Source organism: Homo sapiens, chromosome 9, assembly GCF_000001405.40.
Source record: "Homo sapiens chromosome 9, GRCh38.p14 Primary Assembly".
In the NCBI taxonomy this organism is placed as follows: Eukaryota; Metazoa; Chordata; class Mammalia; order Primates; family Hominidae; genus Homo; species Homo sapiens.
In genome coordinates, this window is record NC_000009.12 from 29,150,467 (window position 1) to 29,175,607 (window position 25,141).

At 34.3% G+C, this 25,141-nt stretch overlaps 1 protein-coding gene across 11 annotated transcripts in view, besides 1 other annotated feature; it reads right to left on the reverse strand.

Annotated features, from left to right (window-relative positions):
* The window catches only part of LINGO2 (leucine rich repeat and Ig domain containing 2), a 1,275,985-nt gene that overhangs the window by 1,212,850 nt on the left and 37,994 nt on the right, over nt 1-25,141 (reverse strand). The window lies entirely within an intron of this gene.
* Nucleotides 8,485-8,654: an enhancer, noted in NCBI's record as "experimental_107631 CRE fragment used in MPRA reporter constructs". NCBI's record gives its function as "activates a minimal promoter by MPRAs in K562 erythroleukemia cells, with activity observed for both the introgressed and non-introgressed 9:29159034 variant alleles {active_cell/tissue: K562}" and the evidence as "EXISTENCE:reporter gene assay evidence [ECO:0000049][PMID:34662402]".

Here is a 25,141-nt window from a genome sequence, read left to right on the forward strand (position 1 = left end):
GGCAAGAAAGCTCACTGTGATTCAGGAGAAAGTTGAAAACCAATCCAGGTAACCCAGTGAAACGATCCAAGAGCTGATAGATGAAATAGCCATTTTAAGAAAAAAAGCAAATTGAATGTCTGGAACTGAAAAATTCACGGCAAGAACTTAATAATACAGTTCAAAATATCAACACCAGAACAGACCAAGCTGAGAAGAGAATCTCAGAGCTCGAAGACCAGTTATTTGAATCAACAGTCAATTTTTTTGATTTAACGAACAAAACCTCTGAGAAATACGGGATTTCATACAGAGACCAATCCAATGATTCATTGACATTCCTGAGAGATTAGGAGGGAGAATAAGCAACTTGGCACATATATGTAAGAATGTAGTACACAAAAATTTTTCCACTCTCCCTAGAGAGGTTGACATGCACATTCAGTAAATTCTGAGAATCCCTGCAAGATACTATACAATATGACCATCCACAAGGCACAGAGTCACCAGAGTCATCAAGGTGAATGCAAACAAAAAAAATATATATATTAAAAGGCATCTAGAGAGATAGGTCAGGGCACTTACAAAGTGAGTCCCATCAGGCTTGCAGCAGACCTCTCAGCAGAAACCTCATAAGCCAGAGGAGATTGGAGGCCTATTTACAGCATTGTTATGAAAAAAAAAAAATTTCAACCAAGAATTTCATATCATGCCAAACTAAGCTTCATGACTGAAGGAGAAGATCTTTCTTGGATAAGCAATCAGAGAGGGAATTTGCTACCACTAGATTGGCCTTATAAAAGGTCTTTAAGAGAGTGCTAAACACAGAAATGAATGATAACTGCTCCCACAAAACACACTTAAGCACATAGCACACAGACACTATAAAGCAACTATAAAATAAAGTCTACAAAACAACCACCTAACAATATGACAGGATCAAAAGCTATTATATCAATACTAAAACTGAATGTAAATGGTATAATGCCCCACTTAAAAGGAATAAAGTGGCAAGCTGGATAATAATACAATACAAGACCCAATGGTCTGCTGTCTTCAACAGACCCATCTCACATATAATGACAGCCAGAGGCTAAAAGTAAAGGAGTGGAGAAACATCTACCATGCAAACAGCAAATAAAAAAGAGCAGGAGTTACTATTCTTAAGTGAAATAAAACAGGCTTTAAACCAACAATGATCAACGAAAAAGAAGGGCATTACCTAAAAAAGGTTCAATTCAACAAAATTTAACTATTCTAAATATATACACATAAAACACTGAAGCACTCAGATTCATAAAACAAATTATTCTTGACCTACAATAAGATTTAGACAGATATACAGTAATAGTGGGAAACTTCAATACCTCCAGTGACAGCATTAGACAGATCATTGAGGCAGAAAACAAACAAATAAATTCTGAAATTAAACTCAACACTCAACTAAATTTGGGGAAACACACAACGTCCCAAGATTAAACGAGGAAGAAAATAAAAATGTTAATAGACCAATATGTTCTGAGATTGAACAAGTAATCCCACTAAAAAGTGGACAAAAGATATGAACAGATACTTCTGAAAAGAAGACATACAAGTGGCCAACAAACATATGAAAACATGCTCAACATTATTAATCATCAGAGAAATGCAAATCCAAACCACAATGAAATACCATCTCACACTGGTCAGAATGGCTATTATTAAAAAGCAAAAAAACAATAGATGCTGGCAAGGCTGCAGAGAAAAGGGAACACTTATACATTGTTTGTGGGAATGAAAGTTCAGCCACTAAGGAAAGCCATTTAGCAACTTTTCAAAGATTTTCAAACAAAACTACCAATCAACCCAACATTCTCATTAATAGGTATATACCCAAAGGAAAATAATTTGTTCTGCAAAAAAGACACATGCATTTTCATGTTCATTGCAGCACTATTCACAATAGCAAAAACATGGAATCAAGCTAGGTGCCATCAACAGTGGACTGCATAAGGAAAATATGTTACATATACACCATGGAATATGAAAGCCATGAAAAGAACTAAATTGTGTCCTCCTTGGATGCAACTGGAGGTCATTATCCCAAGTGAATTAACACAGGAACAGAAAACTTTATACCACACATTTTCACTTATAAGTGAGAGGTAAACACTGAATACACATGGACATAAAGATGGGAACAACAGACACTGGAAACTACTATAGGAGGAAATGGGGAAAGGCTGAAAAACTACCTGTTGCATACTATGCTCACTACCTGGGTGATGGGATAATTGTACCACAAACTTCAGCATCACACAACTTACCTATGTAGTAATCCTTCACATGTACCCCCTGAATGAAAATTAAAAGTTGAACATATTTAAAATAAAAATTGATTTAATAATAAAATACTAGCTTCCGGGTATTTTCTCTGAGTCACTATTTGATTATATATAAATTGTATTTTGAAATATTATCAAATTCACTTTTAAAGATTAAGTGAAACAACATATGTAAAAATACATAGCAAAAAGGACTTAATACAAGTTATTTTCCCTTTATAAGGAAAGAATATATCTTTGTAGGCATACGACTACAGAGTTCTTGACACTAGTGGTTATTTAATAAATATACAGTGTTAAAAATATAAAGAAATTAATGAATAGATTAAGTTTTATAGCACTATGGAAAGTACAGTTAAAGAATCTAGTTTTATTTGTGCCTATTCAGATTCTTGATAATTTTATTTCACCACTGTATATTTTTCATTTATTTTTAGCTTACTTTTATCTAATTCTATATTATTTATTCCTTATATGTTTTCTACTTGTTCTAAGAAGAGAAAGTTGTTTGCTCATTTAGCTAGGCCATTTATATTAGTAGGCAGAATTCATTTTTTGTCAAGCTTTTATTAAAGGTAACATGACTCATTCCAATGAATTTCTTCATTTTTTATTTCTAATGTTAATTATCCAGTTCTCATACATTGCTAGAACCGTAATTTTGGATGGAAATTAGGTAACTACTGGGTAGACAAAGAAGACTGTTATGCAATTTAATAGCTATGAAAATAAAAGTTTTTTATTATTTGTTTTTGGAAATACATGCCCTTGCAAATGACAGTAACTTTAGAACTAAAAATAGATATTATATCTTGTGTATATTACTTCAAAGTACATGTTTACCAAGCTCATCTAAAAACATTACAAGTTCTTTTTGAAAAAATACACCCAACAAATACAAGGAAAATTATTCTTTAAAGCTGAACTTATTTTTCTAATCTTGAAACTGAGGAAATATAAATCTCTGCAATCAAACTGGTAATACTGAAATCAGCCTTTACTCCACATATTTGTTTTTTTATTCATGCAAAAATAAAATAATCCAAGATTATTAATAGCAACCGATACAGATCAACGCCCATGTAATTCTCAGGTCTTTAGAAAACTGAACAAATGTTAAACGGATCAAGGCTCAGAACAACTGCCTCAACCTTGACTTTTTCCCCATGAGATCCAGATAGAAGTTCTCTCCACTAAAATGGACACAAACACACTTCTATTCAACTGATGCTGATGGAGTTATAAGAGCCCATGACAAACAAGAGTCACTCTGATTTGAATTAAGCAGCTTAAGAATTTTATACTACACTTGGATTAATAGTTTTAGTTAATAGTATTTCAGTGAGCAACTAAAAATCACCTTTAAGAAACTGCTCTTAAAAATCTCACAAGGGGCCAGGCACGGTGGCTCACACCTGTAATCCCAGCATTTTGGAGAGGCCAAGAAAGGCGGATCACAAGATCAGGAGATTGAGACCATCCTGGCAAACACACGGTGAAACCCCGTCTCTACTAAAAATACAAAAAAAAATTAGCCGGGCGTGGTGGCGGGCGCCTGTAGTCCCAGCTACTCGGGAGGCTGAGGCAGGAGAATGGCGTGAACCCGGGAGGCGGAGCTTGCAGTGGGCGGAGATCGCGCCACTGCATTCCAGCCTGGGCGACAGAGTGCGACTCCGTCTCAAAAAAAAAAAAAAAAAAAAATCTCACATTGGCTCCAAAGGCTGAATAGGAATCTGTAAGAGCAACAGCATGTTTCTAATAAAAGGGGAAGCGCTATACTAAAAGTAGGATGCCATAAAATAAACTCTGGTTAGTACAGTCAACTGGTGGAGTTCCTTTGAAACTTTATTCAAGAGCCCAATTTACTATATAATGTAATCAACTTTGTTAGTAAATATTTTATAAGGAAAACAAATATACATGCATTTTGTGCTATGGAATCCAGGTACCACAGCTTTATCTGCTCCTAACTTTAGATTAGAAAAGGAAGCTGCTACTATAATATCACTAGTAGAAAATATTTATTTGTAGGGAAGAGGAGCAGAGGGGAAAGCAAAAATTCTGAGATAGAAAAGATGAAAGAAGTGTTGATGTTACTGTCTCCTCTAGTACAAAAATCCACATCTTCAGAGTTAACACCTCAGACTCTACAGTCCCACTGACTGGGCCATTCACCCCATTCCACATGCCATTTCCTAATGACATAAATTCCTTCAAACCTAATTCCTCAGCAACAAAAGAGCAATAGTAATAATGTCATGTGCTTTGGAGAATATTAGATGAGACAATACACATAAAGCATTTATCATAGGGACTTGCATACAATATTTTTTTCTTTTTATTATTATTCTGATTTCATTGTGAGAAAAAATAATGGATAATTTGCCAACATTGTGTTTCCACAGAAAGAAGAAATAATGCCCTTAAGGTTTTCACATTGCTCTTTTCTTGGCACAAAATGATGTGTTCTTATTCCTTGGAGCTAGGAATATGATGATCTTTTTCTTCTATAAATTTAAAATCTCCAGAACATATTTAACTCTAGAAAATAAATTTTTTAAAGTAGGGGTGTTTGTCATTTATGTACATGAATGATAGATCTCTACTTTTCTAGTCATTTTTAAAAAATTACTGTCTTTCTCCTATGTGATATTGTTGCTAATAATCATGAACTATACTGACTACAATTCTCTCCCACAAGTTTCCAGGGATCAGAGTTTAGCAGAAATAAATATGTGACCTAGATATTTTTCATTATATTCTTTTAGAAAACTGTGAGGGTTTTCCTTTTTTTTTTTTTTACAATAATCTAAAAATAAATGAGGAAAAAAAGAAGAAAATGAAAATCAATCTCCTCTAAAAGAAACATTTAATTACTATTTTATTGGAATAATTTACTGTAAAAAGGAATTAACAGAGTAATATTTAGTACAAAATTAGCTTTTATAAAATTATAAACTTTTAAAACTCTGAAACAATGCAAGGTATGTTACTGTCAATAATGCTATGTTTGTGTTTCCTTTTTTGAAAAAATGACAGTTTATTCTGGAGTAAATAGCTTACAGTGCCATCTCAAGAAAGCTAAGAGCATAGAAGAATTCATCTCCGTGATGTTAAAAACTAAAATGAAAACAAACAAAAAAACACCCACCTTCATTAAGGAACCATGACAGCATGAAAAAAGCAGAAGCAACTGTGATTATAAACTAGGGATCTGGAAGCTTTCTTACCATAACATTCCAGGAGAAGTGATAGCAACAAAAATTATACAGGGAATACTAAAGTAGCCCTTAGAATTAAAGCTTTGCTCTTGTTTTATCTACTGCTACTATAGATTGCTCTGGGCACATACACACTGAAATAATATGGTATACAATGAGTTAACTACTATAAAACATCTGTGTATACTCTTCACTATAAGAGGTTAATTGTAAAACCACAACACAGCCCTTGAGATGTAACTCAAAGCCCATGAAGAATTTTCAAGAGAGAAAAAAGCCCCATTAGACTTTTCACAATACACTGAGCAAGTGAAAATGTATCTGGCTTTTATGTGCATCCCTAAGAACTGACAAGTTATATAGTAGTGTAGTTTCAACAATATTGGGATTTTAGTTACCTCTAAATTCATATTATAGCAGTCAATCAACTCTTTGCTTTAGGCAAGAAAATAAGATAAAACAAATGGTTTTCATTTAAATCTGGGTTTCTTACCTATTCCTAAACAAGAAACAGTAGATAAATGTATTTTGGTACATGATTACATCTCATTTGTGCATATAGATGGAGTATCAATAAATAAGGCTAAAATTCTTGCACAGTTTTTATGCCACTATGTTTCTTCTGATAACTTCCAAGACTGAAGTACATGAAAAAGTTATTTGTGTCTTTGGAAGGTAACATTTCATTACTAACGTAATACTTTATAAAATGCTAGCCTTCTTAGACAGGTCTTTGAGTATCAATTTCACATGATACTTCTACTACAATGTTGTAGGAAATTCACTCATCCATATTTTCTTACACTTCCCAAATTATTACCTGAGAATAAACCAAATATATTCACTCTTTCAGGAGGGTAAGGTATCACTTAATGTACCTTAGATCTAAATATTAAGCCCAAAATTTCAAATTTTCCTTCTTCCTAGAATCTATGATTTACTCTAGAATGAAACAAAGGCAGAATAAACAATAATAGTAATAACTTACGCAAGCAAAGTAATCTATTTAGACATTCCCATTGGTTGGCTATGATCTCATAAGATCATAGAAAAATTAAGAACTAAATTGCATATAATCTCCAACATCCCCACCTACACAAAAGTTAAAAAAAAGAATTCTACTCAAGAAATATTCAGTTTAAAATGCCACAAAATGTCATTGAGCGTATGATATTTACCATTCCATGAAGCTAAATGAATAACAGTGCCTTTCCAATATATTTTCACAATTAGTGGACAGCAGTTGAGGAGAAAGACTCATAAATAAATAATTACAATAAGATTTGATATGTTCAACTACATAAGTACGGTGTTCTACACATATAAAAACACTGTTCTGTATAGTCAACCTCTCTAGTCAACACAATGAACTCTGATAGAGAATGCCAAGAACAACTAAAGATGAGCAGGCATCATTCTGAAAACATGTGAGAAACAAAATATATTAACTCCAACTTTATAGTTACTTTTAGTGCTTAAAGGTATGGAAAGTCAAGAGTAAACTGAAGACAGATTGTGGCATATGAATCTCACACACTGCAATTTCCATTAGGCCTAGATGTAGTAAGACATTGCATATGGGAAAACCTAAAAAATAATATCAGACTAAAAAAACTCTATTTTACTTTCAAAGATATAAGTGGACAAGTAAGTACTCATTTAAATCTACCAGTAATGTGACACTGTCTCCTTTTTTTTCTCCTTTGAAGTCAATAAGCAGTTTTTTGGCTCCATGAAAACAATAATATCTCGGCTTGTATAATACAATAATTCCCTCCATTTTCCCAATTTAAATCCATAAGCAAGCTCAAATTTTGAATATGCGGTAATCTTTGACTCCTCATGAAACATTATTTTGACCTCCTCATGAAACAGTACTATACACTTACTCCCCTACAATAATATACTATGTTTTCTAAGCTTTAAAACATACAGAATGTGTATAAAAAAATATACCAGACTATATACCAGGCTATATCTATATACTTTGTTCCCTACATGATTCAGATGCAACTTTCTGGATTCATCTGGATTAATTTTAAAAATTGTTTATAAGATTAAGAGATTCTAGGCTGGGCATGGTGGCTCATGCCTATACTCCCAGAACTTTGGGAGGCCAAGGTGGGCAAATTGTTTAAGCTCGAGTTCAAGACCAGCCAGGGCAACACAGCAAAACCCTGACACTACACAAAGTAAAAAAAAACAAAAAAAAAACAAATGGAGGGAATGGTGATTCATGCCTGTAGTCCCAGCTACTTGGGAGGCTGGGATGAGAGGACTGCATGAGCCCAGGAGGTCAAGGCTACAGCGAGCTGAGATCCTGTCACTGCACTCCAGCCAGGGTGACAGAGCAAGACCCTGTCTCAAAAAAATAAAAATAAAAAAGATTAGGAGATCCTTTATTCCTTCTATAACTTTAGTGATACTCATTCTATTAATAACTAAATGAGAACAAGCAACTGAAAAAGATTTTGGAGGACAGACTCTTCAGCAGACTGGAGAAAAGGTCTGAGTAGAACATAAAATAATATGCTCTCAAGTCAATTTTCTCCAAAGCTCTCAAGTCAATTTTCTCCAAAGCATCTCAGAATTATTCTCTTGACATTCATCTCTATTGTGGAAGAAGGGAGAAAAGAACCCGGCAGTGGGTTATACTACAACTCTCTAAGGTCTTACTCAGCCATTACCACATTTTTCCCACTCAGCCTTTATTTTAGTTACTCAAGGAGATACGTCTGTGTGTGCAAGTGTGTGTTTGTGTCTGTGTGTATATGTGTGTGTATGAGAGAGAGAGAGAGAAAGAGAGAGCAAGAGAGAGAAAGGCAGGCAGACAGAAACAAAGAGACACACACATACAGAATATCCTAAACCCTTATCCCTCTGAATTCTAAGAGCATCCCATGTCCTCATTTCTTTTGAGCCCTGCAGTTACACCTAAATGTTACTAAGAGTTATGAAAGAGAAGCCTTCATAGATTTATCCAGCCTCAGTGCCTAACTCTTTATTTTCCTCCTAGCAGCTCTCTCAGAGCTCAAATCATCACATGGGCTTGTTCGACTCTGAGCTAGAGTCCCCTTCTTGGAGCCATCCATAAATGGCTCCATACTCTCCTGCACTATACTCAAATCTCAGGGCTACTGATTCATACTGAAGATGGAGTTATCTGAGCTACACAAAAAAGATGGACTGGAACCCTAAGCATCAGGAATGGGCAGAACCAAAATAAATAGGTTGGCACTAGTGTATTTCAGCAAATTCTCTTCCTGACCTACTCTCCCATAAACTCTACAATTCCTCACGGTTACCTACTTACTAAGCTCACCTTCCAAAGTAGGTATTCTAGGTAGATTATTCCCACTCATTCTCATCCCATCTCATGATCTTCAGGCTTGCTTCATTAGAGAGCAATCTACAATGACATACTAATCAAGTTTAATCTATTGAAGCTGTTGATTAAGAAGTTATACAAGTTTCCTAAGACATTATAAAACTCCTAAAAGCATAACTTATCATGAAACTTTCAGTCACCTTCACAAGCTGATGTGATAAATTAATACCAAGTAACATTTTAAGAGTACTTTGTGGGCCAGGTGCGGTGGCTCATGCCTGTAATCCCAGCATTTTGGGAGGCTGAGGCAGGCAGATCACCTGAGGTCAGGAGTTCGAGACAAGCCTAGCCAACACGGGGAAACCCTGTCTCTACTAAAAAATACAAAAATTAGCAGGGTATGGTGGTGGGCGCCAGTAATCCCAGCTACTCCGGAAGCAGAGACAAGAGAATCGCTTGAACCCAGGAGGCAGAAGTTGCAGTGAGCCAAGATCACTGCACTCCAGCCTGGGCCAAAAAAAAAAAAAAAGAGTACTTTGTGAATCATGAAACTTTCTCATTCAATAGTTCAGAAATTTCACAACCACCTAACATGTAGGGTTTACTATTACTCTCCTTTTAAAAATGAAGAATCCCACTTAAAATATTTGTTTCACTTACAATTGTTTACAAATTATTTGGTTTCCAATTCTAGAGAAAGTAAATAATAGAATCTGGTGTTGAATTTAGATGAATAGTTTTCAATCTTTATAGTATATCAGAATCACCTAAAGAGTTTATTCAAACACAGATTGCTGGGCCCCCACCTCTAGAGTTCCTGCTTCAGTAGGGAGGAGATGAAGCTAAGGCAATTGCATTTCAAACAAGTTTCCAGATCTTGCAGATACTGCTGATCCAGAAACCATGCTTTGAGCACCATTGACCGAAGTCTAACACCAGACCCAATATACTTTCCACTGCAGCAATGAAGCATAACTAGTTAAGGTTGTTTCTGAAGTGACAACACTTGGGTCAAATGTTGGTTCCACCATTTACTAGCTGTGGCAAGTTATTTAACACTTCTTTTTGTTCCTTGGTTTACTGATCAATTAAAGGGGGGCAATAATAACTATTTCAGAGTGTTTGTGAAAATTGAGATAACATATTTGAAATGGTCTAAAATTAATAAGTGACCATTAAATATTATCTTTTTCTCATAGTATTAGAGTATTAGAGAATTGCTTTATCCTGCTCAAGTTTCTCTAAATTAGGCCAACATTCCAATGGTAACATTTGATTATAAACCAGAGAGAATGTTACGATTGCAGAAGAAGTTATAAAGTTACATATAGATTTGATTATTTAAATATCAAACTAATGCTAAGGGACAGATATATATTTGATTTTTCTCCTAAAGAATAGAGATAATTTGACAAATGTTGATAGTTTTATAACACAGATTCTTTGAAGAAAAATTAAGCTATAAGGTATATGGGTGTGCTTTGGTCAAGATTATGCCGAGGCAGACATCCAGGCCTGCATGACTCAGTGAGTTTAAGGTGCCAGGCGCATACTCCACTTGTTATATAACCTGTTTGTGTAAGTTCACACTAGTCTCTGAGCCACTATTGTCTGCAGAAGGTATAAATGCCCTGCTGATGTTGTGCACAGGGCTCAGTTCAGCATGGCTCGGGCTGGCGCCCAAAGAAAGAGAGAGAACCAGCTTTGTCTGTCTTACAGATGGACAGAGAGGAGCCAGGGCACAACAGGGCTCAACATGCTCACACTCATGCCCAGAGGGAAAGAGTTAAGCTGCTGACCATGAAGGCAAGGGAGAGACAGCTGTGCAGCTGCAGGTGTGGGGACCACAGGAGGCACAAAGCAGGCTGCCGAGAGGAGGCGCAGAGCCACAGCAAACAGCCATGATAAAGGTAGACAGTGTGAGGGAGCTAGTGTGAAAAAGCTGCTGCTGAGAGAGCTGCTGAATAAAACCATATTCACCTGCCCACAGCCCCTGGGTGTTCTTTCAGCTATCACCCATCCACCCACTCCCCTTGGACCTCAGCTGAGGCTGGAACCTGATCCCAAGCAGGCATAGTCATAGCCCTGAACCTGACATAAGCTTATTAACTTCCACTCAATTTTAACTAGGTAAAGCAAGTATATCTGCACCCCTAGTATCCTATGAATGTCTCAAAATTTTCCTGTAGATAAATAAGTGTGTTGGAATTCTTAGTGATTCTCAAACATTGGTGTACATCAGAAACACCTGGAGGGCCTTGATAGTTTGCTGGGCTGCCCCTTCAGCATTTCTGATTCAATAGGTAGGAGGTAGAGCCTGATAATTTGCATTTCTAACAATCTACCAGATGATGCCTATACTGCTGATCTAGGAATAACACTTTAAAACCACTCCCTTATGGTGAAGGATACTAATCATAGAAAACTAGATAACTCAAAGAAAACAGTTCCTGTGTAACAAGCCACTATATAGTAACAATAAAAACTATAAGGGTTTTACTTTCTTGAATATATACCATATTAGTGCTATTGAAATGTTAATAATACTAACCTCATCACAGTTCATTGGGTAGGGCTGAAAATATTCTATTATTCTTCAGATGTGTTTTTTTTTTTTTTGAGACAGAGTCTTGCTCTGTTGCCCAGGTTGGAGTGCAGTGGCACAATCTCGGCTTACTACAACCTCTGCCTCCTGGATTCAAGTGATTCTCCTGCATCAGCCTCCCGAGTAGCTGAGACTACAGGCACCCGCCATCACGCATGGCTAATTTTTGTATTTTGGGTAGGTACGGACTTTCATCATGTTGGTCAGGCTGGTCTTGAACTCCTGGCCTCAAGTGATCCACCTGCTTCGGCCTCCAAAAGTGCTGACATTACAGGTGTGAGCCACCATGCCCGGCCTTGAGATGTGATTTTAATAGCATAAAAAGATAACCATTCATCCACATAATGTGAAGAATACAAAGAAAGAAATTCATATAGAAATCCTTTGTGATTAATATAAAAATGAATATATTTCAATAGACAGTTACCAAGGAAGCCACTTTATGAATTCATGTTTGAATATATCAATGTTTGCAGTTAAAATAAAAATCAATAACCTTCTGTAATAGGTTATAAACTTCAGAGAAAGGACAGCATCTTATTTAACTTTACAGGTAACACTTGCCCAAGCACATGGAGAGCACAGTATATGTTCATCAAATGAATAGTCATGAAAGGCACAATAGATGAATAAATATAAGAATGAAGTAATGAATCAATGGATATGAAAGGGACATTTGGACAGAATAGCCAAGTCATTAAACATTCTTCCAGAAATGGATGGTGTATATAAAAAAAGAAGCTAATGTATAATATGAATCAAACTAAATATTGTTTGTGATTTGGATAAACATCCATTATAAAATAATTAATATAAAATAGAATTATGTTCAATTTTAATATCAAATCAAATCAAAATGTAGAATTATTAAAAGTGCAGCTGGAGAAAAAAATACTCCTACTATTTTTCTACTTGAAACTAGCAGCAAACAGACTATTCCAAAGAATTTTACCCCAAAGATTATTTCACTGCACCTTGGGTTTCATAATTGCCTTCTTACAAAAAGAAAATGTCTGGTTTCACTGTTCTTACAGACTCTATCAAAGAGACAGAGAAAGAGAGAAAGCATAAGAGAAAGAGAGACTGAACATTACATATTATCTAAATTTTATTTCCCCCTCAGTATAAAACACAAAGAACTTGTGACGGCATAAATCATTCTTAAGCTTTGCTTTAAAGTTTTAATATATCTTGAAGTCATGAATATCAAAACTACATCTTAACACTAACTAGAATACTCATCATGCCAAAATGTCATCTTTGCCAGAAAACTGCTGAGGATGTAGCTCAGATCAAAATCAAACTGAAATCAATACTGACATCAGAAATGTCTGATGTATTATTTTTCAACTGTTCTAAAATAGGGTTTACAGAAAAGTTCTAATTCTCCCGTTTACTCCAGTTAACAAACTTTCAATATTAACTCTTCCTTTGATGCAAATCCTTTTATATAGGTTCCAGTCTTAAATAATTTTAGTCTTCTATGTGTACATGCAGTTGTTGATATAGAAAAACAATGAGTAGGAAAAAGAGATTAGAGTCTAATAATACACAGGAAACATGAAACATGCTCATGATTGATTCTCATGATTTCTACTATATCCTAGGAAAGGTCCTTTCTAGGTATAAGGAAAGCTTCAAAAAAATGATGGCATCAAAAAGTATTTATCCATTTCTTCACACATAGTAGACATATACTCTGGCTTCTAATGTATTAATACAGAAGAAGGTTCTAAGCCATAAGACTATGAAAATCCCCATTGAGAAGACAGCCATGTAAATACATACACAATGATTCAGGATTACAAATGCAACACTTTCATTTCTGAGTCAAAACACTTCTCCAGAAGACTTTGTTTGGAAAACTTAAAATAATAGATTTTTTAATAGTAAGTCATAGTTTCCAAAGGTGAATGCAACAGTACCTCCCATCTTACATGTTACTCTAGAACCCTGTTAACTGCTAATCAAAGGAGGGAGTCTATTTCCCCACCTGGTGTACTTAAGTGGGCCTTTGTGACTACCTCACCCAACAAAGTATGGATTAAGTGATGCTATGTGATTTCCATGTCTAGGTCACAAAAACACCATACACTTACACTTTGTTTTCTTAGTATGCTACTGAAAGGAAACCACCATGCTGTGAGGGAACCTAAGCAGTTGATGAAGGGGCCTACATGGAGGAAAAAAAAAAAAGGGGGCCTCTCACCCACAACCCTAGCTGAGCTTCCAGCCAATATTCAGTCATAATGTGTCAATCATGTGAGTGAGTTATCATAAAGTGGATTATCCACCCCTTACCTTAGTTACCGCAGCCGAGGTAAACCATTCTGCCAAATACTGCCTAAATAGAAGATTCGTGAGCAACACAAGTAATTGTTCTTCTAAGCTACTAAGTGGGGATAGTATCTGATGCCGTAGTAGATAACATACAAATCTCTAGTCATTGTCCTGCTCTACAAGCATGAAATAAAATAATGAGGACACAGCAATATAAATATGAATTGGTGTTTGTTTTGAAATAAGCATTTCTCTCACCTGGTGAGTTATTTTCATAACTCAAAATCATACGATGTTATCAATTAATGAAGGGATACTACTTGAAACATATTAGTTGTAAAGTAGAAGTCAACAGAATTTAAATGACCTGCAGTTGGGTGGGGGGTTGGGGGTAACAATAATAAAAACGTAATTACGCAGTGCAGATTACAGACAACAAAATTAAGAAGCAGAATTTCTACAAATATTAAAACTAGATAACCTGCCTCAGTCAATTTGTATAACACACATACACACACACACAAACACACACATTCATGTGCATATATATGCATATATGCACGTGTGTGTATATCTGCAAAGTATAAGAATTGAATGAAATAAGATTCCATAATTATCTTATTGCTGACACTAATAAGTGAATATGGCTACAGTTAACTCATTTATTCACTGATCTATTAACTATATAATAGTTATAGTAGGGTATTTTAATCAATATTATCTATTGCAAACCTAATTCAATACTACAACTGAGGTCAATATCTAATTCAGCCTCTTAGATTTTTGTTAGAAATTTTAAGAAAATGAAAATCTCTTTTAACCTTCAAAACTTCTTTTGGTTATTACTATTACAGCAATGAAAAATAAAACGTTTATCCCATAGTTCAAAGAACTACTAAGAAAACATTTTTCAATTCTTGTATTATATTTCCCTTGTACTAATATTTGCTCTTAATGGGAAAACTTATATCTATATTTGGCATCTGTATCAATAGACATCAAATCTATATCTATATCTGGCTCCTAAAATATTTTCCCAAACTTATTTCAATAATTTTTAAATACACATTTATTGAGTAACTATTATGTCCCAGATACTGTTCTAAACATTGAGAATAATGACTCAAAGCACTGGAGATACGGCAGTGAAAAGAGCAAAGTGTCTGTTCTCATGGAGTCTCTGGGAAATCCAAAACCTTATGTTGGCTCTCTGTGGTAAGCTGGATAACCCAGAATTGGCTATTTCCCCCATGGATTTGATACTGAACATAATTTAATGATCCAGCCATAACCTTAAACCTGAACATCACCAGAATTTTATATTGTCTCCTGAGCCTAGGATAAGCTATAATTGATTTTCTCTAAACAGTCCTAAGCACTCAGGCTTAACTTTTCAAGATTCATAACTACTAGGACTATAAAATAGGAGAAGAAACTTGAATTGCAGGAGAAAAAAAATCCTTTGTAAAATGGATCTACTCTTTTTATTGCATTAAGTATTTACAAAGAACTAAATTAAGTAACTGTGATTTACTGATGATTAAAGTTTAAAAAAACTGATCGGGCAAAAGAAAGGATGAAATGAAAAATCGTGCAAAGGAAAAAGCCAGTTTCTCATGTAATGGGAGATGTCCTTTCTGTTGGATCTTTGAAGTCTGATTTTCTTCACAAGAATCCATCAAGGTTCATTTTATATTTTAAAAGTTCTATATTATCTAACTCCAAAGTCAGTGATAGGATCCATTTCTCCAGGAAATAAATAAAATTGTGTATACTTAGTGTATGTGTCTGTGTGTGTACATATGTATATCAAGTAATACGTTTAATAATTACATATACATATAATCAATTTATTTCATCATTGCTCTTATAACATTCAAATAGAGCTAGGAATTTGGGATCAACTGCAGTGTCAAATTTTAAGGGTAACACGAATTAGGCAAGTAGACGTTTAGAATAAATAAATGATTCTCTTATGTGGTTATTTAAAAATTCCACTTTTTATATACTTTTCTTTTTCTCCTCTTCTCAAAAAATTCCATTTTTTAAAGGTGGATGTGATCTTAGTTATTCTGTTATTTCAGAAGTTGCAATTTGGATCCCCATTGGCTACATTCAACTCCTACACGTTTTACTTAAGCCAGAATATTTAGGTGGGTAAGCAAGTAGGTGTGCATAGAGGTATATAGAGAGAAAGACAGAAACCATCTTGGACAGAACACGAACTCTCCAGTTATAGAGTCTCAGCCATTCCTCATTCACTTTGCCCCCAATAGGCATTTGAGTTTATGACCCTGTCTAGTCAGCTCATCATCTTACAGATGAAAAACTAGTCTGAGAAGATAACTATCCAAGGCACAGACACACAAGGTTCTTGTTATTACTCTGTAAGTGGTATTTTAGAAAATGTTAATATATTAATGGATATTTTAATCACTAGTTCTAATTTATACTGCAATCTGGAATTTCCAGTCCAAAGTATGTTTGATAAACTGAAATGTTTTATAAACTCCTTACATAACTTCAGCTATTCTCTCCAATTTGTTGAACTCTTAAAAATCCATTCACATGAGCCATTTCTAAATTTATTATAGGTACCTTAAAATCATTTATAAACTTGTCAGCACCTCAAAATTCATTTAGATGCTCATATTACTGAACGCTCTTTCTTATAATCATGAAATGGATAAAATACTAAAAATATAAGCAGGCAGAGAGAATTCCCAAAAGATAGATAGATATGAGAAAGAGGGCTCACTTTATTTTTAATAAGAGGTTTTAGAAGGTGTCTTACTAAATTAGCGAAATTTTTATTTATAAAACTAATTGCTTGATTCCTTGCAAATAAAGAAATCCAAAATATACATTGTAAACAATAATTATTTATTTTGTATAGTATAAACAAATAATTGAAGTTGGATTTTATTCTTCATCACTTTTCAGATATTCAAGAACAGGCCATAAAACATCAAAGGAATTATAATTTAACATCTCTGAAAATCAGTATGTCTACTGAATAAGAATGCTTTGAATAAAATCAAATAACTTTAACATAATAAGTATCTGTGAAAAGAATCTTTTATTACCTCAGGTACTAAGAATATTCATAATGCAGGAAATGTAGCACTTCTGTTTTCGTACTTAAATTTGGTTTATCTGAACCAGCATATCAAACTGGCTGTCACCAGAAGCGATCCTCAGACATTAAAGTTCTTAGTACTGAATTATCACAAAATAAGAGAGAACCAAAGTCTTGTGAGCTTAAGTGTGACAAGATTGCTTTGGAATTAATTCCTACACCAGTCAGCAAAACATCTGAATGATATTCCTTAAAAGAAAGAAGTATCTGAGAGAGAGACTATACACAAAACCAAGTCTGTTCTGCTATTTTTCTACTATTGAGATAAAGGAAAACAAAAACAAAACAAAAACCTGTCAATATCTTAAAGCCATTAGAATCCTGTACAGCAACAGAATCTTCACTACATACTGTTGAGCTAAGTGAAATGATGCACAAGGTGTCTTACCTTGTATCTCATTTGTATAAAAATGAAAATCTTCCATGAAATCACCCAATTCACATTTCCTGCTTGTTCAGAACAATCTGTGAAAAATGACTTATTCCACCTATTTTAATAATTGCAAGTTTCCTTTGCATGAGAAATGGCTTATGTACCCTGTTACATGGCCATCATTTCTTTCTACCAAGAGGCCACTCCACAGTCGTTAGCTACTCCCAAGACAACTTTAGCACCTAAGGAAAAAAAGGAAATTAGATTTCTGGTAATGATGATTCATCTATATATCGAAATCCACTAGTACATTGTTATTGTTTTGAAGACATGTTTATTTGTCTTTTTTTAATGATAGACAATCTATAGCAAATGAAGTCTTGAACTAGGAATAGAAAGACCTGAATGATATTTCCTCATGTCTCTTATCAGTTTTGTAATACTCAGCCAAATCATGTAATTTTTTAGACCTGTTTCCTCATCTCTAAAACTGGAAGGAAGACTTTTCTTACATAAATGTGAGACAAACCAAACAAGCTAATATAAGAAAAAAAAAACCTCTGTAAATTTAAAGTATTATATTTGTATGTTTGATGTAATAGACTATTATTTCCCTATTTGTTAGCCATTGTCTCACATTTTCCTTGCTAAAAAATGTGCTTAAGTAGCAACGCCCTGGCCAGGGTATGAAAAATGATTTATTTTAGCCAATCATAGGAATCACACCCACACTTGCCTAGGATTGTTCTGCAGAGGTGGTTGTGAGATACCATTCTGGCCAAAGAAATATAGCAGGTAATGTAATATGAAGTATTCTGGAAAATATTTTCTTCACTGATAAAGGAGAGAGCCTTATGTAAGGAAATCCTCTCATCCACCATCTGCATTTTCTCTCTTTTTATTTTGGACACCATCAAGTGAAGATGTGAAACCTGGCACTTGTGACTTAGGGAAGTTAAACTGGAAAACAAAAGCAAATATGTAAGGGCAGTGAAACAGAAAGGTGAAAAGAAAGTGGATCCCAGATGACACTGATAAGACAGATACTTCCTTACTGATGAATGTGATTAGGAAGGAATAGCTGTGATATCTCCCACAGGAAACTTTAGTCTGCTCCCTAGTACCAGCCAAAGCTTAGTTATTTGCCTACTTATCTATTGAAGCATGTATTACAATATGTCATCACTGTCCTGTTTTTAAATATTAAAGATATAAGGTTTTAAAACTCTGGATTTTCTTTTTGTTTTGTTTCATTTTTGAGACGCTCTTGTCATCCAGGCTGGAGTGCAATGGTGTCGTCTTGGCTACTGCAACCTCCATCTCCCAGGTTTAAGTGATTCTCCTGCCTCAGCCTCCTGAGTAGCTGGGATTACAGGCATGCACCACCGCACCTGGCTAATTTTTGTATTTTTAGTAGAGATGGGGTTTCACCATGCTGGCCAGGCTGGTCTTGAACTCCTGACCTCAGGTGATCCGCCCACCTTGGCCTCCCAAAGTGCTAGGATTACAGGGGTGAGCCACCACACCCGGCCCCAAAACTCTGTTTCAAAAAAACTTCAAAAGTGTTGGAAGAAATGTTAGAGACTATTTTAATAATCTTAGTAAGAGGCAAGCCTTTGTGAGAAGTATGCAGTAATCAAAGGTGATAAAAAGACTGTCAATACATCTGACAAAAGGCTAATATCCAGAATCTGGAAAGAACTCAAACAACTCAACAAGAAAAAAAAATCCCCATTAAAAAGTGGGCAAAAGACATACACAGACATTCTTCAAAAGAAGGCATACGAGCGGCCAACAAACATATGAAAAAAAAATACTTAATATCACTAATCATCAGAGAAATGCAAATTAAAACCACAGTAAGATACTATCTCACACCAGTCATAATGGCTATTATTAAAAAGTCAAAAATCAACAGATGTTGGCAAGGATGTGGAGAAAAGAGAATATTTATACATTGTTGGTGAAAATGTAAATTAGTAAAACCTCTATAGAAAACAGTATGGGCCAGGCACTGTGGCTCACGCCTGTAATCCCAGCACTTTGGGAAGCCCAGACAGCAGATCACGAGGTCAGGGATGGAGACCATCCTGGCCAACATGGTGAAACCCATCTCTACTAAAAATACAAAAATTAGCTAGGTGTGGTGGCACGCGCCTGTAGTCTCAGCTACTCAGGAGGCTGAGGCAGGAGAATGGCTTGAACCTGGGAGGCTCAAGCAGTGAGCCAAGCTCGCGCCATTGCACTCCAGCCTGGGACAGAGCAAGACTCTGTATAAAAACAAACAAACAAAAAACAACAACAACAACAACAAAAAACAGTATGGAGATTTCTCAAATAACTAAAAATGGGACTAATATTCAATTCAGCAATCCTACTACTGGGTACCTACCCAAAGAAAAAGAAATCACCGTATCAAAAAGACACCTGCATTCATAAGTTTATAGCAGCCCTATTCACAATAACAAAGTCATAGAATCAACTTAAGTGTCCATCAATGGACTGGATTTAAAAATGTTGTATATATACATACCATGGAATACTACTCAGCCATAAAAAAGAATAAAACTATGTATTTTGCAGCAACACGAATGGAACCAGAGGCCATTATCCTAAGTGAAATGACTCATAAACAAAAGGCAAAAATCACAGGTTCTCACTTATATGAGGGTGCTAAACAATGGGTACACATGACATACAAAGTGGAATAACAGACATAGGAGACTATAAAAGGTGGGAAGGGAAGAAAGATGAAAATCTACCTATTTGTATAATGTATACTATTCAGGTAAACAGTACACTAAAAGCCCAGACTTCACCACTATGCTATATATCTATATAACACAACTCACTTGTATCCCCTATATCTATAAAAATTAAAAAAAGAAAAAGAATACTGGATCATGCACATTATAGAAAAGTTTAAAGACATCATGTAGACTAGAAATCATATTTGTCACCTATGTAAGAGAGAATTACTATTCATGACATACAATATTTCCTGAAAATTAATGTAAGAAAGACAAGTTACTCAACAAAATAAACTCCATAGGGGAAATATAAATGACCAAAAAAATGAAAACAATATAAAAACTCCACTAATATTAAATAAAAATACAAATAAAATAAATATGACACTTTTTTCTTTAGTGAATTAAATTCAAATGATTAACATGATGTGCTGGTTTGATGCAGATAAACTTTTTCACATGTTTTAGTTGCAGTATAAATTGCTTTAGAAGTGTAATTTGGCTATATCTCCCAAAATTTGAAATGTTAATAATCCTTTTCTTTTCTTTACTGTTTTGTCTTTTTTTATTTGAAGAACTTCTTCTATCCTGTGTGGTTATGGCAAAGGGTCTCAATTGTAGTACCGGACATGCAGTACTATGGATTCCTTGTCCCTCTCCTTTTTTTGAATATGTCTAAAGCTAAGCACATAACAAAAGTCAGTAAAGTTCTACTGAGAAATTTGCATATGGTTCCTGAAAATTTGCATATGGTTCCTTAAACATTTTCATTTAAGTTCATACTTGTAAGGACCACATAAACCTAAACCAACTGAGGGCATGTTTTCTGGAACATGAAGAGATCCTCTCTGAGAATAAGCCTCACACTGAGGAGAGGAGAACAAAGATTCAGAGACATTTAAAGTCTTAGAACTTGAGTATTTCCATACCTTAAACTTGTATACAACAGAAACTTCCCGTATAGCCACTAGTTTATTTTTCTTTGTTTGGGCATCTTGGTATTTGGATTTCCGTCAGTTGCTTTTGAAAATATACTGATATACTCAAATATTCTCATATTTGCAGAATGTACTACATATAATATATGGTATATATAATATTAAATAACTTGTAATAGCAAAAATCTGGAAATAAACATAAATGATCATCCAAAGGAGACTGGCTTAATAAGCAATGATTCATTAATATAATATCAAACAGGTATTCAATATAATAAGGTAGAGGAATATCACTTGGCGGAAAAATATTCCACATATATTGAAGAAAAAGTAGAATTGCAATACAACATCTACCATATTTTTTAATATGATATATCCCAACATTATATAATTGATAGAAAAGTACTACAAAGATACATATGACTAGATTACAGTTCTTATCTCTGAATAAGAAAGTAAAAATTCAGACAATGTCATACTTTATTCAAAATACATTGTGAGAATTCTATAATACATGTTAATGTATTACCTGTGTAATAAACATACAAAAGTATAAGCAAGCTCATTTTCCTTTCAAATAAAAGTTGTTATAATGAGAAAATACTACTGATTTCTTTAAAATTAATAAAACAGTGTATATTTGACCAAAAGGCAGGTGGCAGTTGAGAAAGTCTCTCTTTATGGACTATGTCTAAACTCATTAAATGTAATGTACTTGCAAAAAGTAAATCCTATTTTTTAAATCTTGACAGATTTTTGACAGAATTATAAAATGTGATTAGAGTATTTTTGATAGTTATTCATTTTTATTATAAATGCTATAATAAAGGATGATAGCCAGTTTTGTTATAATTTAGCAAACATAGATAATTTTAATCTATCCACTTATGTTAATATGAACCTACCCAAATAGTGGTCTCATTAATTTTGAATTATCAAGATGACTCTCCTCAGTTTACTTACAATCAGAACTCAAATTTATTCCCAGGAAATTTAAAACTCGTTTAAATTAATGTATCCTTTGAATAGTACTATTTAGTCAGATTAAGTAATTTAAAACAAGAACTCTGGATTCAGAAAGCACTGTCTTAACATGAGATAAATATATCATGAAATGATTAGGTTTTAAATTTCGGTCACTTATAAAACATTTAATAATCACTGAAATTAAATATAAATAAAATTGAACAATAATATAACAATGCAAAACTACAGAAGAAAAATAATCTCCTTAGTGCCACTGATTCTAATTCAATTTAATGACAGAGAACATATAGTTGACATCAATGTGTTTTAACTATTACTACTTGTAATTAAACTCTTCTTTCACAAATCTTTATTAAAAACAATCAGAAAAAAAAATAAAAGATCCATAGAGGAATACCTGAACACATGGACCATCCATGACTTATTTACATGGCAATTAAATTTGATATTCTTTTTCTGCTGACATGTACAGCCTTATTCTGTACTTAAGAGTCATAGTCTGTCTTCACAAACCCTTATACTTACATACACACACACACAACACTGTATCATACAATCTCATATTTTCTGGGTTGATTTATTCTAAACAGTCTAGTATAATGTTATTCTATTAAGCATGTCTCAAACCTGAATTGAGAAAATCACAATTTGGGGTCTGAAGATGTTACCCCATGTGATTCTACTATATTTCCATTCCATTTTATAGCTAGATAAATAAGGTGAAGAAAAGTTATGCAATTATCTTTTCACCCAACCTTTGGGTGCAGCTGTGGTATAGTGGGTGGAGAAAATTGAACCAAGATTGGAATAGAGTGTCCTGACTACTATCCCAAGAGTCAACTCAGTTGACATTTCTGGAAATAAAGAATAAGAAAGTATCACCTCTAATGCTGTAGTAATTATGTTAGAGTTTCTCCAACCCTGTATGCTTCATTTCAGCTTTATATTAACATCAATAGACATGCTTCCTTTTATACACATGGCAGATAGAAAACTAGAATTACTGTAAAGTAAAAGCTATGGCAACGAATTTACCGATTTACACTGCAGTCCTAAAAGCAACTTACTGCTATGTAGGAGCAAGTCCCTTGTATTCAGTTGCTTTGATCTCTGTGAGATTTTGGTTTCTTGATGTGGCAGGAGAAGAAAAATCAAAAGTGATTAGGAAGAAAAATATTTCCAGCAATTTCCACAAATTGTATGTCTCTTCGTCTTAAATATCTGCCATTGGAAAACCATGTGTGAGATTAATTCTACTAAACTACAGTGGCTATGTTAATCTCATTCTTTTAAAAAGAAATTAAGTGTCATGAAGAAAGAATGAGGTCTAGTTTAAAATCTCAAATAAAACTACTTACATAGATAAACCAGAAAGGGCCTATACATATTTGTGAAACAATCATTAAAATTAATTATAAATATGTAATTCATGAGAATATTCATCTAAGGCAAGAAGTAAAATAAAATCTCAGAAAATAAGAGTAAATTTGTACCTTATTTTACAACATTGGCACACAGATTAAGACTATTCATGTTTTGCCATTCTTTCAAGAATATTTTTCCCTTCAATGCATGTGTGTTTTACTGTGTCAAGGAATTAGAATTGAAAACAAATATACAAAGGATTTACCATGTTGTTTATAAAAAACTATTAAACAGAATAGAGCATCAATTTTACATTTCTGAGATAACAGATAAAACTTCAAAATGAGGTTATGCTTTGTCTAAAAAAAAAAAATTAATGTAAAAAGATACTCGCTTTCCTGGTTTTGAGCAAGCATTTGAAATTGAAGATGATGATCTATCTCACACTATATTTTTGAAGTTTCACATTATTTGAAATAAAACTGTATGCCATGTGTTTTCATTTTCTCCCTGGGTCTCATCGTTTATACTCCCTAAGGCACAGATGATAAATAAGAAGTAAGTTTTACCAGCTGGCATCCTTCATGTGGACCATATTGTGAAAAAGTGAAATCAAATTCTCTTGAACTGAGGAACAGAGTAAAATATACTTGGTCTGACTGTTCTCAAACCTTCATGTTATGTCTATAGAAAAATATATAACTCTATGAATAGCATTTCATGCTACGTCCTAGGACTAGACAGATTTTTTGAAAACTACTTAACAGAAATTTCAATTGAAGACTTTCAACTAAGCTTTTGAAAATACATAATCTTAAATGCAGTCACATGAAATTTCCCTTTTATGTCTTATGGGAACAGAACCTATCAATTATTTATCCAGAATAAAATTTAAAAGTCTATTGAAGTTTCCTATTTGCTGACCATGACTAAATGGAATGAAAATAATTATGTGGAAATAAAGTTCACAAAGGCCTGGATACAGGATCAAGAGACACCAGTTTATAAATACATGTCAGGATGTAATTCAGATGCCTATGGTGTCTACGTGCACATGAAGAACCTGGCTAAAAGGCAAAGAAAAATTTGTTGGATAACTTTTAGTATATTTTAAAAATCTAAAACAGTTCAGTGTAGTAGTTATGGAATGGGCCAGACCAGGGTTTGAATCTTAGTTGTGTCAGATCTTTTAGTTCTCTGAGCCTTTCATTAAAATAATGGTGGGCTGGGTGCAGTGGCTCATGCCTGTAATCCCAGCATTTTGGGAGGCCGATGTGAGGGGACAATGAGGTTGGGAGTTAGAGACCATCCTGACCAACATGATGAAACCCCATCTTTACTAAAAATACAAAAACTAGCTGGGTGTGGTGGTGCATGCCTGTAATCCCAGCTACTCGGGAGGCTGAGGCAGGAGAATCACTTGAACCTGGGAGGTGGAGGTTGCAGTGAGCCAAGATCATGCCACTGCACTCCAGCCTGGGCTACAGAGCAAGACTCCATCTCTAAATAAATAAATAAAGGCAAAACATATCTCAGTGTTCATTATTCACTGGCATCAATGGACTACTATTTTATATTATCCTTTGTTGATATAAAAATATTACTATATACAATCCTAATTCTGTTGCGGTTTCACTGCTTCTAGAAGATTGCATGCTTTATTGAACACTTTGTGCACCTGCTCTAAAATGTAACATTAAATAGTGGCATCTCACAGAGTGCTCAGAGGCTGCTCATAACCAACTTCTTTAGATCGTATCTCCGAGATTTTTTTTTTTTTTTTTTTTTTGAGACGGAGTCTCGTTCTGTCACCCAGGATGGAGTGCAGTGGAGCGATCTCGGCTCACTGCAA